At 43.0% G+C, this 16442-nt stretch overlaps 1 protein-coding gene across 33 annotated transcripts in view, besides 2 other annotated features; it reads left to right on the plus strand.

Moving 5' to 3' along the window:
• Positions 1776 to 2185: a silencer, noted in NCBI's record as "silent region_18959". NCBI's record gives its function as "represses an Ori minimal core promoter by ATAC-STARR-seq in GM12878 lymphoblastoid cells {active_cell/tissue: GM12878}" and the evidence as "EXISTENCE:reporter gene assay evidence [ECO:0000049][PMID:35858748]".
• MICU3 (mitochondrial calcium uptake family member 3) overlaps positions 1798 to 16442 on the plus strand; it is a 111403-nt gene continuing 96758 nt past the window's right edge. For all 33 annotated transcript variants that reach the window (XR_007060729.1, NR_182123.1, XR_001745514.2 and 30 more), the window contains exon 1: positions 1798 to 2220. Coding sequence is in view for 23 of the 33 variants with exons in the window: in NM_181723.3 (NP_859074.1) it covers positions 1840 to 2220 (381 nt within the window). In the remaining 10 variants the exon portion in view is untranslated. The remainder of the gene's footprint in view (positions 2221 to 16442) is intronic.
• Positions 2336 to 2425: an enhancer, noted in NCBI's record as "active region_27046". NCBI's record gives its function as "activates an Ori minimal core promoter by ATAC-STARR-seq in GM12878 lymphoblastoid cells {active_cell/tissue: GM12878}" and the evidence as "EXISTENCE:reporter gene assay evidence [ECO:0000049][PMID:35858748]".

The raw sequence follows: 16442 nt of genomic DNA on the forward strand, positions 1-16442 counted from the left end.
CTCTATCTCCTGACCTCATGATCCACCCGCCTCGGCCTCCCAAAGTGCTGGGATTACAAGTGTGAGCCACCACGCCCGGCCAATATGATTATTATATTATATATAATATATATAATTATTACCCAGAAGATAATTTATTTGGGGAAACTACCATTTCACAGAATATAGAGAAAGCATAAATTGAGGAAAATTTGGTGATAAAGCAAGACGCTATCAGAGTCTTCCTTAGGCATTGACTCCATAAAACCCACAGGCTGAAACTGAAGAAAACTCAGAGACAGGTTTTAAAATACACAAAATTTGTTCATCTGCTACAGAAGATTTTTCTTCTTACCGCTTTTAGCAGCTTTAAGAAAGCAAAATGCCATTAACCTCTATTAAAATAAGAGGTAACAGGGTGTACCTGATGTGCTATTTACATGCAAGGTGTTAGGAATAGAAATTGCAGGACCTCCAGGAGTTCGAGGCCAGCCAGGCCAAGATGGTGAGACCCCCATCTCTACTAAAAACACAAAAATTAGCCAGGCACGGTGGCGGGTGCCTGTAATCCCAGCTACTCGGGAGGCTGAGGCAGGAGAATCGCTTGAACCAGGGAGACGGACGTTGCAGTGAGCCGAGAATGTGCCACTGCACTCTAGCCTGGGCAACAGAGCAAGACTCCGTCTCAAAAAAAGAAAAAAAAAAGGGAAGAAATTGTAGGACCTGAGCCAGAAAAAACTCATTTGGTCGTCTCTGAAAGCCTTTAGTCTTTACAAGAATTGCCAGAATCAACTGATGGTGTATTCTCTTGTCACTGCAGCCCAATTGAGACCACTGTATTTAGTTGTCTGTCCCCTTAGATCCACAATATTTTAGGGACTCCTGGCACCATTCCATAGTAGGAAGAAAAAGCTAACATAATTCAAGTTACCAAAACTGGGGTCTGGGGAGAGAAACTGATAGGAACTTCATCTACACTTTCTCATAAAAACTGATACTGATAACATAGCAAACAAAAAGTACAGTAAAAACAAAAAGATGACACAATACGCTTCTCATTTATTTTATATTTATACAAACAGCGCTTCCCTGAAAAATCAGGGTATCGTTCAAGATTTTATCTTTATTCACAGAAGTTTTAAAATTTTTAACTTTTATATGCACAAGACAGTTCTGATTTGTTGAATTAAGTGACCGCGGGTGTGCTAATGCTTCTAAAAAACAGCATTAGCCTTCTCCCATCAAAAGTCCGGAAGCTGCCCTTCAGTCGTCAAAGTGTTTGCCTTAATTTGCAATCGTTATGACTTGAGCCAAATGCTTATACCTCATTTGTGTCGTATATGTGAAGATACAATTGCAAATCGTTCACGACCTTGAGTCAAGACCTTGAGTTTCCTGAGGTCAGGAGACCGTTAGGGAATGTGAGTGTCCCAGACGGGCGCTGAGCCCAGCTCGGAGACCCACCCCGCCCGTAGCAGCGGCGCGGGCCCCAGAGAGCCCCGCACTCGGCCGCGCCTCAGTTACGCTGACTCGGCTGTGCCCGCAGTGTCGCGCTGTCGCGTAGCCAGGTGTCGCCGGGCTGGCGCGGTTATTTATGACTGCGTGGTTGGGCTGGGGGTTCGGGGCCGGGGAGCAGCCGGGATCCGCCGCCTCTTCCATGATCTTCCCGGGCCGAACCACGGGACCGCTACGCTGAAGGTGGCGTCGCGGGTCCCCGGGGCCGCGCGAGTGTAGGGGTCGCTCTCGGCCGGCCGCGAAGCTCGCGGCACCGACTTCTCGCGAGATTTCGGCGACCCCCCCCCCCGCCCCCGCCCCTCCGTTCTCTGCCCCCTCCCAGCTCTGGTGTGGGCGGCCTCCGCTATGGCTGCGCTGCGAAGGCTCTTGTGGCCGCCACCCCGGGTGTCTCCTCCACTCTGCGCTCACCAGCCCCTCCTTGGGCCGTGGGGGCGGCCTGCGGTGACCACCCTGGGCCTTCCTGGCCGGCCCTTCTCCTCCCGAGAGGATGAGGAGAGGGCTGTGGCGGAGGCGGCATGGAGGCGGCGGCGGCGCTGGGGGGAGCTGAGCGTGGCGGCGGCGGCCGGCGGGGGGCTGGTCGGCCTGGTATGCTACCAGCTGTACGGGGACCCCAGGGCCGGCTCGCCGGCGACCGGGCGACCCTCAAAGAGCGCGGCCACGGAGCCCGAGGACCCGCCCCGCGGCCGGGGGATGCTGCCCATCCCAGTGGCGGCTGCCAAGGAGACGGTGAGTGCGCGAGCGCGCGTCACACCTGCGCGGGGGATGTGACCTTCGTGCCGGGTACGCAGGACCCTGGAGGCTGTGGGGACGGTGCAAGCGCTGTGGCCGCGGGTGAGGAACTTCCCGTGAGCGAGGCTGACACCTAGGCCGGACAGCCTAGGATCCGGTCACCCACGTATTGGGAAGACCAGTGATGCTGTCCCTGATGCATCAGGACCTTAAAGGTGGCTGCAGCTACCAAGTATCAATCCAAACCCAAAACCAACACCCCTCCCCCTCTTACAAAAAAAGATTCAGAAATGAAGGCCATGACAGGCAGAAAGTGGACCGCTGTAGGTGTGGGAAAAAGGAACTCCTAGATTGCGCGGGGCGACAGCTAATGACCCAGGAGGTCTGTTGCATTAGAATGAGTTTCGAAGCAGCGGTCTGAGATCTCAAAAGCCACTACTTTAGCATATGAGAATTTATTAGTCCCAAGAAAGGAAATGCTAAACCTGCATGCTAACGCCCTTATCATACCCAGGGAATGTTGATGTTACCAGGTCTGAAAAGAAATAAAAAATTGTTCAAAAAGAGACATAAGTATTTCTCTCTTTTTCCTTCCCCCACTAAAGCCAGAATCCCGTTAGTAGGTAACGATAAAACACAAAATGGATAGGATAGCAAATGTAGGAGGCTGTGAATGACACAAACTCCTACAGAAGAAAGTCACGTGAAAATGTTCAACTGTCATTATGTAGTTAATAATACAAGGTAAAGATGTGTGAAAGGCAACAGTGAGTAAAGGAGCGTGATTTTTTTTGTCGCATCAGTATATTTAATAGTCATGTAAATGACTAGGAAAATTAAGGAGATTTTCCTTGCAAGGCTCGAAGAATGTGAACGGCGTAGATGAAAATAATTTAGAAAACAGAGAGCTATGCTGTTTCTAATGCAATTTTTATAGGCTTTGTTCTTAATACGCAGTGGTGATCTGATGTAAGTGCATCATTTCCTTTGGTGGAGGTTGTCAATGCAATTAGGTTACGGAATCTGCTTTATGGACTATCTAGCAGCAGATCACAAGCACATAACATAAAGTCCTTTTACACATGAATATTCAAAATACTAGGAAATACCCTCAAATCTCCACCCCCTCCCCCTTCACAAATACACATCCACTTTTGTGGCTTGGCAAGGAGCATAGCGTTTTTCATGATGGCAGAACTTTTAATTAACCATAGTTGGTCTAGGAACAGATCAGCAAGGTAGGGAATTCAAGTAGTATTTTCTTTTCTTTCTTAAAATTAATTTTACTTTTACAGTTGAGAGATGTTATCTTGCAGTTTTTAAAAAGACCACGTTCAGAAAGCTAGAACTTTGGCTCCACGACTTGCTACTTGTGTCATTATGGAGAAATTACTTGACCTGTCAATGCCTGTTTCCTCACCTGTGAAATGAGGCTAATAGTCTCCTGGGGTGTTATGAGAGTTAAATGAGTTAACACAGTATATTTAAAACAATGGTACTACTAAAGAACATTAAATAAATTTATTTTTTGGCTGAGCGTGGTGGCTCACGCCTGTAATCCCAGCACTTTGGGAGGTCGAGGCAAGCAGATCACCTGAGGTCAGGAGTTCGAGACAAGCCTGGCCAACATGGCGAAACCTCGTCTCTACTAAAAATACAAAAATCAGCCGGGTGTGGTGTTGGGCGCTTGTAATCCCAGCTACTGGCAAGGCTGAGGTAGGAGAATCACTTGAACCTGGGAGACAGAGGTTGCAGTGAGCCGAAATCACACCTCTGCACCCCAGCCTGGGTGACAAGAGCGAAACTCCATCTCAAAAAAAAAAATTATTTTTTATTCGTTTATTTATTTTGTACTTTTGTGCAGTTATTATTGCTTAGTGTTTATAAAAATTTCTGTTCATTGTTTTAGAAGTCAAATAATGTTAAAGTCCTGTGTCTTATGCTTCCCTAGCCTCTAGTCCTACTTTCTGATTGTCATGCCTTTTGTATTTCCCTCTCTGAAAACTTTTATGATCTGTTTATCCCTGGTGCTTGAAATTTTCACAGTAATGAGCTTCGGGATGTGTATTTTTTCACTGATTGTGCTAGGTTCTTAAGAGGCCTTTCAATATGGAAATCCGTGTCTAAAAAATTCTGTGTAATTTTCTTCTATTGTTTCTTTGATGATTTTTCTCTTCTCCCTCTTTCTATTCTCTTTTTCTGGAAATGCTGTTTCTTTGAAGTTAAATTTCCTGACAGATCCTAATCTAATTCTAATCATTCTTATATTTCGGTTTTAAAAAATATTTTCATCTGTTTATTTGTTTTTATAGCAGATATCCTGGGCTTTATCTTCCAACCTTCCTACTGAATTTTTTTATTTCTGCTATTCTACTTTTTTAATTCAAAGAGCGACTTTGTGTTCTCTGTTGTTGATGAGTTATAGCATTCTATTTTGCTTTCTATATGGCTGCTATATTTTCTCTTTTTGCTGTAAGGATATAAATTATAACTTTGTTTTGCCTTCTAAGGATATAAATTATAACTTTGGCCTTCTCTGTGCATTGCTTTGTTTCTTCCAGGTTCTTTTTTATTTCTGTTTGATTTTATAAGCTCTTGCTTTCATTTTGGAGGTTTTCCTCACATATCTGTGGTTGTTACCTGTCTCTTACTTGAGAACCTCTCAGAGGGTGTCTGTGCATAACATGTCCTTTCATCTGCACGAAAGGGCTTCTTATTAGTGTAACATCCAAATGTCAGTATTTTACAGCTCTTTTTCTCTGATGCTGTTGAGCGTCTACAAAAAATAGGAGAGATGAGAGGTGCAGTAGTCTTCTGGCAGCAGGCACATGTGCACATATATGTAACACCACTTATGTTGGTGAGTATTATGGGCTTCTTATTAGTGTAACATCCAAATGTCAGTATTTTATACCTCTTTTTCTCTGATGCTGTTGAGCGTCTACAAAAAATAGAGATGGGAGGTGTAGTAGTCTTCTGGAAGCAGGCACAGGTGCACATATATGTAACAGCACTTATGTTGGTGAGTATCTAATGATATACTTAGGTATTGTTATCTAATCCTCTGCTTTTAGCCCAACTACTTACTCTGATTCCATAGCTCCATAGTTCCCAAGGCCTTGTCCGTTTTGGGATTCTGTATAGCAAATATTAATACCTTACTTCTATTTGGTCTCTGCAGAACTCAGGTAGTGCCTCTGTTCTCTTAAGTCAATTATCACTCCTCCATCTCTTCAATTTTATAAAAATTTTATAAATTCTCTTGAATGTTTTAGTTTCCCATTCTTTTCTCTATCTTAGCTCTTTTGTATTTTTACCTTTTTATACTCCTTTACTGTGAATTTAATGTGGTTAGGGGAAGAAGATGTTGAAATAGAATCATGGAGTCAATCTGCCATTTTTCAGAAATACTATTTTAGTGGCATGTGCTTGTAGTCCCAGCTACTCAGGGGGCTGAGATAGGAGGATCATGTGAGACCAGGAATTCAAGCCTGCCGTGGGCTATTATTGCACCACTCCATTCCAGCCTAGGGGACAGAGCATGACTTGGCTCAAGAAAGAAAAAGAAATTTTATTTTAAACCTATGCTGCCACTTCATTTATTATTATTATTATTATTATTATTATTATTATTATTATTTTGAGACATAGCATCGCTCTATCGCTCAGGCTGGACTGCAGGGGTGTGATCTCAGTCACTGGAACTTCACCTCCCAGGTTCAAGTGATTCTTCCACCTCAGCCTCCCAAGTAGCTAGGATTACAGGCGCCGGCCACCATGACCAGCTAATTTTTTTTGTATTTTTAGTAGAGACAGGGTTTCACTATGTTGGCTATGCTGGTCTCAAACTCCTGACCTCAAGTTCCGCCTGCCTCAGCTTGCAAAGTGCTGGGAATACAGTCGTGAGCCGCTGCACCCAGCCCATTTATTATTTTTGATTTTTCTGAAGTGATATAAATGATTCATTTTGATGTTTAAAACTATAGCTAAGAACTTCTGATTTATAAAGTGTCTTTTAAGTATAATATGCTGCTGAGCATAAGCCTGGCGTGTAAATTAACCTGTATGTGTTATAAGAATAATTTAACTGATGTAAGTGAACAGCAGTAACTTACAGAAATACAGTTCTCTTATATGATAGCCTTGAAGATTTTTATGTCAAAGACATTGGCTCTCAACTCGGAATGCCTTCCCTGACTCTATAGATTTGTTGAAATATCTCTCTCTACTTTCAGATAATGTCTTTTTTTGTAATTATTTGATCATTGTTTGTCTTCTTTACTTGTCTTAGCCCCTTAAGGAGAGGCACTGTGTTCGTCTTTGTCACATTTATGTCTTCATTGCCTGTTAAGGGTCCTAGCCTGATAGGCACAATATGTATTTGTTGAATAAATAAGCTCATGCTAAATATTTGTATGGAACATACACTGAGAAATGAGTTTAATATTTTGTTCAGCTAAAGCAGTTATTTTTAGCATTTGAATTGGGACGACTTCAGTAAAGGTCAAAATTCCAGGCTTTGGGAGATCAGATCACGTGGCACTGTATTTATTTTAATTGTGCAAGTTTGGGTTGCCAAAATTTTTTAGCAAACTATGGCTTTGGCCTTTATTTATATTATAAAGAGATGATTCTGATTAGAACCTCAAAGTTTTAGCCTTAAAGCACTATTTTTATTAGTGGGAAAAAATTTTGTTCTAGAACTGCCTTTTTTTTTCATGCCCAGAATAAAAAAACGATTAGATTGCTTAACATACTTCAGTGTTTTACTTAATTGTACAGAAGACATGATCTTGTTTTATGATTTGTTCGCCTTAAAAAGCTTCAAGCAACATATTTGAGTATTACTGTGGAGTGGAAAACTAGTTAGACAAATTTTTTATCTCTTTCATATCTGTAATAATTGCAAATAGTCATACATTATTAAGTTTCCTTTACCATATGTTTTCCAGCCTCTTTTGTCAAGGCAGCATATCTTGAGATGTGAGGATATAATGCTTTTTCCCAGAATATCGAAGAATTTGCCAGATGCTTACAGGCATACGTTTTGCCGTGCTTCATTTTCTTGTGCTTCACAGATACTGCATTTTTTACAAGTTCAAGATTTGTGGCAACAGTGAATTGAGCAAATCAGTTGGCACCATTTTTCCAACATTATACGCGTACTTAATGTTTCTGTGTCATGTTTTGATAATTCTTGCAGTATTTCAGACTTTTTCGTTATTATTTTATCTGTTATGGTAATCTGTGATCATTTATCTTTGACCTTACTATTGTAATTGTACCATGCACCATGAACCGCACCCATATAAGACAGCAAAGAATAAATGTTATGTGTAGTTTCCTCCATGAACCAGCTTTTCCCTAGTCTCTTTCCCTCTTCTCGGGCCTCCCTGTTCCCTCAGTCACAAAAATACTGAAATTAGGTCAGTTACTAATCCTAGAATGGCCTCTAAGTGTTCACGTGGAAGGAAGAGTTGCACATCTCTCACTTTAAATCAAAAGCTAGAAATGATTAAGCTTAATGAGGAAGGCATGTTGAAATACTACATAAGCCAAAAGATAGGTCTCTTGTGGAAAGAGTTAGCGAAGTTGTGAATGCAGCGGAAAAGTTTTTGAAGGAAATTAAAAGTGCTCTTTGTGAACACACAGATTATAAGGAGACAAAACAGCCTTACTGCTGAGATGGAGCAAGTTTTAGTGGTCTATGTAGAAGACCAAACCACAACATTCCCTTAAGACAGAGCTTAATCCAGATTAAGGCCTTAATTATCATCAATTTTTTTTTTTGAGACCGAGTCTTGCTCTGTCGCCCAGGCTGGAGTGCAGTGGCGTGATCTCCACTCACTGCAAGCTCCGCCTCGCCGGGTTCATACCATTCTTCTGCCTCAGCCTCCCGAGTAGCTGGGACTGCAGGCTCCCACCACCACACCCAGCTAATTTTTTTGTATTTTTAGTAGAGACGGGATTTCACTGTGTTTGCCAGGATGGTCTTGATGTCCTGACTTCGTGATTTGCCCGACTTGGCCTCCCAAATTGCTGGGATTACAGTGTGAGCCACCGTGCCTGGCCAACTATCATCAATTATTTTAAAGTTGTGAAAAGTAAGGAAGCTGCAGAAGAAAAGTTGGAAGTTAGCAGAGAATGGTTCATGAGATTTAAGGAAAGAAGCCTTCTCCATAACATAAAAGTGCAAGGTGAAGTGGAAATGATGATGTGCAGGGGGTAGCAGGTGATCCAGAAGATCTAGCTAGGATAACTGATGAAGGTGGTTACACTGAACAACAGATTTTCAATAGAGATGAAACAGCCTGTTAGTGCAAAAGGCTGCCGTCTAGGACTTTGATAGCTAGAGAGAGGTCAATACCTGGCTTCAAAACTTCAAAGGATAGGCTGGCCCTTTTGTTAGGGGCTAATGCAGCTGGTGACTTGAAGTTGAAGGCAGTGCTCATTTACCATTCTGAAAATCCTAGGGCCCTTAAGAATTATGCTAAATCTATGCTACCTGTGTTATGTTAGGGGGACTGCAAAGCTTGGATGACAACACATCTGTTTACAGCATGGTTTACTGATTGTTTTAAGCTCACTATTGAGACCTGCTGCTTAGAAAAAAAGATTCAGTTGAAAATATTACTGCTCATTGACAATGTACGTAGTCACCCAAGAGGTCTGATGGAGATTTACAAGGAGATCAGTGTTTTTATGTCTGCTAACACAGTATCCATTCTGCAGTCCATGGATCAAGGAGTAATTTTGACTTTCACATCTTATTATTTAAGAAACACATTTTGTAAGGCTATAGCTGCCATAGATAGTGATTCCTCTGATGGATCTGGGCAAAGTGAATTGAAAACTTTCTGGAAAGGATTTACCATTCTAGATGCCATTAAGAATATCTGTGATTCACTGGTAGAGGTAAAAGTATCAACATTAGTAGGAGTTTGGAAAAGTTAATTCCAACTTTCATGGATGACCTCAAGGGATTCAAGATTTCAGTGAAGGAAGTAGCTGCAGAGGTGGTGAAATAGCAAGAGAACTACAATTAGAAATGGAGCCTAAAGATATGACTGAATTGCTGCAATTTCATGATAAAACTTTAACAGACGAGGACTTGCCTCTATGAATGAGCAAAGAAAATGGTTTCTTGAGATGTAGTCTAATCCTGGTGAAGATGCTGTGAACATTGTTGAAATGACAACAAAGATTTGGAATATTCCATGAGCTTATTTGATAGAGCAGTGGCAAGGTGATATAGTTTGGCTCAGTGTCCCACCCAAGTCATACCTTGAAGTGTAATAACACACATATGTCATGAGAGGGACCCAGTGGGAGGTGATTGAATCATGGGGGCTGGTTTTTCCCACGCTGTCATCATGATAGTGAATAAGTCTCACAAGATCTGATGTTTTATAAAGGGGAGTACCCCTGCACATACTGTCTTTCCTGCCGCCATGTAAGAGGTGACTCTGCTCCTCTTTCACCTTTCGCCATGATTGTGAGGCCTTCCCAGCCTTGTGGAACTGTGAGTCAATTAAACATCTTTCCTTTATACATTACCCAGTCTTGGGTATGTTTTTATTAGCAGTGTGAGAACAGACTAACAGAGTAAATGGATACTGGTAGAGGGGGGTGCTGTTGTAAAGATAACCAAAAATGTGGAAGTGACTTTGGAACTGGGTAATAGGCAGAGGTTGGAACAGTTTGGAGGGCTTAGAAGAAAACACAAAAATATGGGAAAGTTTGGAACTTCCTACAGACTTGTTGAATGGCTTTGACCAAAATGCTGATAGTGATGTGGACAGTAAAGTCCAGGCTGAGTTGATCTCTAATGGAGACGAGGAACTTGTTGGGAACTGGAGCAAAGGTGACTCTTGGTATGTTTTAGCAAAGAGACTAGTGGCATGTTGTCCCTGCCCTAGAGATTTGTGGAATTTTGAACTTGAGAGAGATAATTTTGGCTATCTGTTGGAAGAAATCTTTAAGCAGCAAAGTGTTCAAGATGTGACTTGGGTGATGTTAAAGGCATTCAGTTTTATGTATTCACAAAGATATGGTTTGGAATTGGAAGTTATGTTTAAAAGGGGAGCAGAGCATAAAAGTTCAGAAAGTTTGCAACCTGATGATGTGATAGAAAAGAAAACCCCATTTTCTCAGGAGAAATTCAAGCCAGCTGCAGAAATTTGCAAAAGTAAGGAGCCAAATGTTAGTCACCAAGACAGTGGGAAGAATGTCTCTAGGCAAGGTCAAAGGTCTTCACAGCAGCCCCACCCACCACAGACCTGGAAGCCTAGGAGGAAAAAATGGTTTTATGGGCCGGGACTAGTACCTTTGTGTCCGGAATTGATGGGTTCTTGGTCTCACTGACTTCAAGAATGAAGCCGCGGACCCTCGCGGTGAGTGTTACAGCTCTTAAGGTGGCACGTCTGGAGTCTGTCCCTTCTGATGTTCAGATGTGTTCGGAGTTTCTTCCTTCTGGTGGGTTCGTGGTCTCGCTGGCTCAAGAGTGAAGCTGCAGACCTTTGCGGTGAGTGTTACAGCTCTTAGGGTAGCGTGTCTGGAGTTGTTCATTCCTGCCGGTGGGCTCGTGGTCTTGCTGGGCTCAGGAGTGAAGCTGCAGATCTTCGCTGTGAGTGTTACAGCTCATAAAAGCAGCGTGGACCCAAAGAGTGAGCAGTAGCAAGATTTATTGCAAAGAGCGAAAGAACAAAGCTTCCACAGTGTGGAAGGGGACCCGAGCGGGTTGCCAATGCTGGCTCGGGCAGCCTGCTTTTATTCTCTTATCTGGCCCCATCCACATCCTGCTGATTGGTAGAGCCGAGTGGCCTGTTTTGTCAGGGTGCTGATTGGTGCGTTTACAATCCCTGAGCTAGATACAAAGGTTCTCCACATCCCCATCAGATTAGTTAGATACAGAGTTTCGACACACAGGTTCTCCAAGGCCCCACCAGAGCAGCTAGATACAGATTGTCGATTGGTGCAGTCACAAACCTTGAGCTAGACACAGGGTGCTGATTGGTGTGTTTACAATCCCTGAGCTAGATATAAAGACTCTCCACGTCCCCACCAGACTCAGGAGCCCAGCTGGCCTCACCCAGTGGATCCCGCACCAGGGCTGCAGGTGGAGCTACCTGCCAGTCCCGCGCCGTGCGCTCGCACTCCTCAGCCCTTGGGTGGTCGATGGCACTGGGCACCGTGGCGCAGGGGGTGGTGCTCGTTGGGGAGGCTTGGGCCGCACAGGAGCCCACGGAGTGGGTGGGAGGCTCAGGCATGGCGGGCTGCAGGTCCCGAGTCCTGCCCCGCGGGAAGGCAGCTAAGGCTCGGCGAGAAATCGAGCGCAGCGCCCGTGGGCTGGCACTGCTGGGGGACCCAGTACACCTTCCGCAGCCACTGGCCCGGGTGCTAAGTCCCTCACTGCCCGGGGCCAGCAGGGCTGGCCGGCTGCTCCGACTGCGGGGCCTGCCAAGCCCACGCCCACCTGGAACTCCAGCTGGCCCACAAGCGCCACACGCAGCCCCAGTTCCTGCTCGCGCCTCTCCCTCCATACCTCCCTGCAAGCTGAGGGAATGGGCTCCAGCCTTGGCCAGCCCAGAAAGGGGCTCCCACAGTGCAGCGGCGGGCCGAAGAGCTCCTCAAGTGCTGCCAAAGTGGGAGCCCAGGCAGAGGAGGTGCCGAGAGCGAGCGAGGACTGTGAAGACTGCCAGCACGCTGTCACCTCTCACCTTGCTGCTTTGTACATTCTTGAGACTTGGTACCCTGTGTCCCAGCCATGGCCAAAATGGGCCAATGTAGAGCTCAGGCCATTGCTTCAGAAGGTGCAAGCCCTAAGCCTTGGAGGTTTCCATGTGGTGTATGGAAACGCCTGGATGTCCAGGTAGAAGTCTGCTGCAAGGACAGAGCCCTCATGGAGAACCTCTGCTAGGGCAGTGCAGAAGGGATATGTGGGGTCAGAGCCCACACACAGAGTTCCCACTGGGCACTGCCTAGTGGAACTGTGACAAGAGGGCCACCATCCTCCAGACCCCAGAATGGTAAATCCACCAATAGCTTGCACCATGCACCTGGAAAAGCCACAGACACTCAACATCAGCCCATGAAAGCAGCCGGGAGTGGGGCTGTACCCTGCAAAGCCACAGGGGAAGAACTGCCCAAGGCCGTGGGAGCCTACCTCTTGGATCAGTGTGACCTGGATGTGAGACATGGAGTCAAAGGAGATCATTTTGGAGCTTTAAGATTTGCCTGTCCTGTTGGATTTTGGACTGGCATGGGACTGTAGCCCCTTTGTTTTGTACAGTTTCTCCCATTTGGAATGGGTGTGTTTACCCAATGTCTCTACCCCCTTTGTATCTAGGAAGTAAGTAACTTGCTTTTGATTTTATAGGCTCATAGGCAGAAAGGACTTGCCTTGTCTCAGATTAGATTTTGGACTGTGGACTTTTGACTTAATACTGAAATGAGTTAAGACTTTGGGGGACTGTTGGAAGGCACGATCAATTTTGTAATGTGATTTGGGAGGGCCCAGAGGTGGAATAATATGGTTTGGCTGTGTGTCCCACCCACATCTTGCCTTGAATTGTAATAATCCCCACGTGTCATGGGAGGGACCCGGTGGGAGATAATTGAATCGTGGGGGTGGGTTTTTCCCATGCTGTTGTCATGATGTTGAATAAGTCTCACAAGATCTGATGGTTTTATAAAGGAGAGTTCCTCTGCACATGCTCTCTTGACTGCTGCCATGTTAAGACATGACTTTGCTCCTCATTTGCCTTCTGACATGACTGTGAGACCTCCCCAGCCTTGTGCAACTGTTAGTCAATTAAACCACTTTCCTTTATAAATTACCCAGTCTCGGGTATGTATTTATTAGCAGCATGAGAACAGACTAATACACAAGGTTTGAGAGGATGGACTCCAGTTTTGGAGAAGTTCTACTGTGAGTAAAATGCTATCAAACAGCATCACCTGCTACAGAGAAATTTTTTTTTCACAAAAGGAAGAGTCCGTCGATGTGGCAGACTTCATTGTTGACTTATTTGTAATCCCAGTACTTTGGGAGGCCAAGGCAGGCAGATCATGAGGTCAGGAGATTGATACCATCCTGGCTAACACGGTGAAACCCCGTCTCTACTGAAAGTACAAAAAATTAGCCAGGCGTGGTGGCAGTCGCCTGTAGTCCCAGCTGCTCGGGAGGCTGAGGCAGGAGAATGGCTTGAACCTGGGAGGTGGAGCTTGCAGTGAGCTGAGATTGTGCCACTGCACTCCAGCCTGGGCGACAGAGCGAGACTCTGTCTCAAAAAAAAAAAAAAATAAATAAATAATAAATAAATAAAAATAAGAAATTGACACAGCCACCTCAAATTTCAGCAACCACCACTCTGATCAGTTAGTAGCCATCAACATCAAGGCAAGACCCTTCAGCATCAAAAAATTTTGATTTGCTGAAGGCTCAGATGATCATTAGCACTTTTTTAGCAATAAAGTATTTTTAAATTAAGTTATGTACTGTTGTAGACATAATGCTGTTGCACACTTAATAGGCTAATTGTAGCATAAACATAACTTTTATATGCACTGGGAAACCAGAATATTTATGTGGCTCGCTTTATTGCAATATTTGTTTTATTGTGGTGGTGTGGAACTGAACCTTCAGTGTATCCGAAGTATGCCTGTAAATGGAGAAAAGTCCCAGTTTTTTATAGTGAGGGAAGTTACATAGACATGAAATTGAAGATAAGCTAATTCTATGTGGAATAGCATTGTTGTATGAGAAGCTAAATAGCTGATCCCCTCTCTTAGTTTCTTCAAGTGCACGAGAGTCTGGATGCCTTATAATGGCCTGACCATCTAATAGAGTCACATACAATGATTTGAGTAGAGATTACTTTTCAGTTTTAGTAAATATTTGGGTTTAATGTGACTTCTTAATTGATTCTCACATATAATGCTATATATAGGATTATACATACATAATTTGGGGCTGGACTATTTTATAAGTGCTAAGTAATATGTAGCTGTCCTCTTACAGATTGAATATGTAATTTATCTCTAGTAATTTTTGAGAAATGAATGCTATTTTCTACCCAAAGATTAAAGGAAACATTTGGGATCATTAAACAATGATATTAACCCTATAAAATAATTTTATATATTTATGGCTCAGTGTAATATTTTGATATGTGTATATATTGTTGAGTGATTAAATCAAGCTCATGAAGGTATCCATCATCTTGCATTCTTTTTTTTTTTTTTTTTTTTTTTTTTTTTGAGATGGAGTTTCGCTCTTGTTGCCCAGGCTGAAGTAGAATGGCACGATCTCAGCTCACTGCAACCTCCACCTCCCATGTTCAAGTGATTCTCTTGCCTTAGCCTCCTGAGTAGCTGGGATTACAAGCATGCGCCAGCACGCCTGGCTAATTTTTGTATTTTTAGTAGAGACGGGGTTTCTCCATGTTGGTCAGGCTGGTCTCGAACTCCCGATCTCAGGTGATCCGCCCACCTCGGCCTCCCGAAGTGTTGGGATTATAGGCATGAGCCACTGTGCCTGGCCCCATTATCATATTTTTAACCTTAAATTTTTAAAGCTTCTTTGAGGAAGATTTATTCATTACCCACGCTATAACATACAAGTCTTGTATCTCAAAAGATTTTAATAAATCCTTATTTAATGACCAAATTAATTAAAAATCCAGAAATAAATTACAATTTTTCTAATTATTATAGTTCTTCCAAAATCTTGCTTATACAGAATCATTTCATTCATGCAAATTTACATTGGACTTTATGGAGATCAGAAGATCACATAAACACCCTAACAGAAGGGGAAAATAATAGATGTCTGTTACCTTGTATTACCTGTAAGCATTAATGATTGGATACTGAGTCGTAGTAGCTTTAGCAGTAATGGTGAATTTAGTAACTTACAGTTTCATGAAATAGCAAATGCAGAGATTATATATTTTTATTTTCTCCCCCATAAACATATGAAAAAAAATTCATTTTCTTTAGAGGCATCCTTAGACTTCAGTATTAGTGGCTGGTCAAATGCTTTAATGTTTTTCTTATTTTTATATAGTGGCACATGTAAAATTATATATGGTAGTCCCACTGTATCTGCTGGTTAACTTTCCATGATTTCAGTTACCAGTGACCAACCTCTGTCTGAAAATAATAAATGGAAAATTCTAGGGTTTTAGGGGTCAGGAAAATGGAAGAATCAAGGGTGTTATTCAAGTGTTTTGTCTTGGGCAATTGGGTGGATTTGCTGCAATTCACTGAGACTAGGCCTTCAGGAGAAAAAACAGGTTGGGAATAATGGGCATGGATGATGAATCTGTAACTTGTACAATAGATCAAGGTGTCTTTTGGACAGCTGAAGGTAAATTTCCATTTGGATGCATAAGTCAGAAGCTCAGGAGAGAAATCCTTACTATAGAAATAGATTTGGGAATCATCACGTATTAAAAATCATAAGAATGGATGACATTGTTCAGAATATGTAGAATGAGAAGAGAAAAGCATCTAAGGAGAGAACTCTGGTGAGCATCCATTACTTAAAGGACCGGCAGAGAAAAGAAAGTCTGCAAAAGCTGAAAAGTTGGGTCAAGACAGGTTAAAAAAAAAAAAAAGTCAGGGGGCCATGGAAGTCAAAAAAAGGTAATACTATATTTTCGGAAAGGAAGCAGTCAGTTATACTGAAAGCTATCCAAGGAGGTCAACTGAGATAGAAATACAAAGTGTGCATTGGATTTAGCAACAAGGAAGTCATGGGTGATTTTGTGAAGACATTGGAGGTGATAATCAGATTACAGTTGGATAAGCTGAGTAAATGTGAAGAAAAGGTAAAGTGGACTAAGTGAGGTAAGTGTTGACAGCCATATCAAGAATTTGTCTCTGAAGAAGAGAGAGGATAGTAGCCTGAGGGACATGGAATTGATTTTTTTTTTTTAAGATGGAAGACCCTCGATCGTGTTTAAATGCTGATGGAAAAAAGAAGATTAAATTTAAAGGAAAGAGAATAATTGATGTGATAAGGACCCAGGTGGGAGTAGGAGATAAAAATTAAAGCCCAAGGAAAGAGTTTAATCTTAGATAATAGGAGGGATGCTGTTTCCATTATGACAGGAGGATGGAATGCAAGGACACTATATGTATGCTTAGTGGCAAGTAGTTGAAGGTGTTCTTCTTGCCTGATGGCTTCTATATTCTCTGTGAAATAAGAGGTG

Source organism: Homo sapiens, chromosome 8, assembly GCF_000001405.40.
Source record: "Homo sapiens chromosome 8, GRCh38.p14 Primary Assembly".
Classification (NCBI taxonomy): domain Eukaryota; kingdom Metazoa; phylum Chordata; class Mammalia; order Primates; family Hominidae; genus Homo; species Homo sapiens.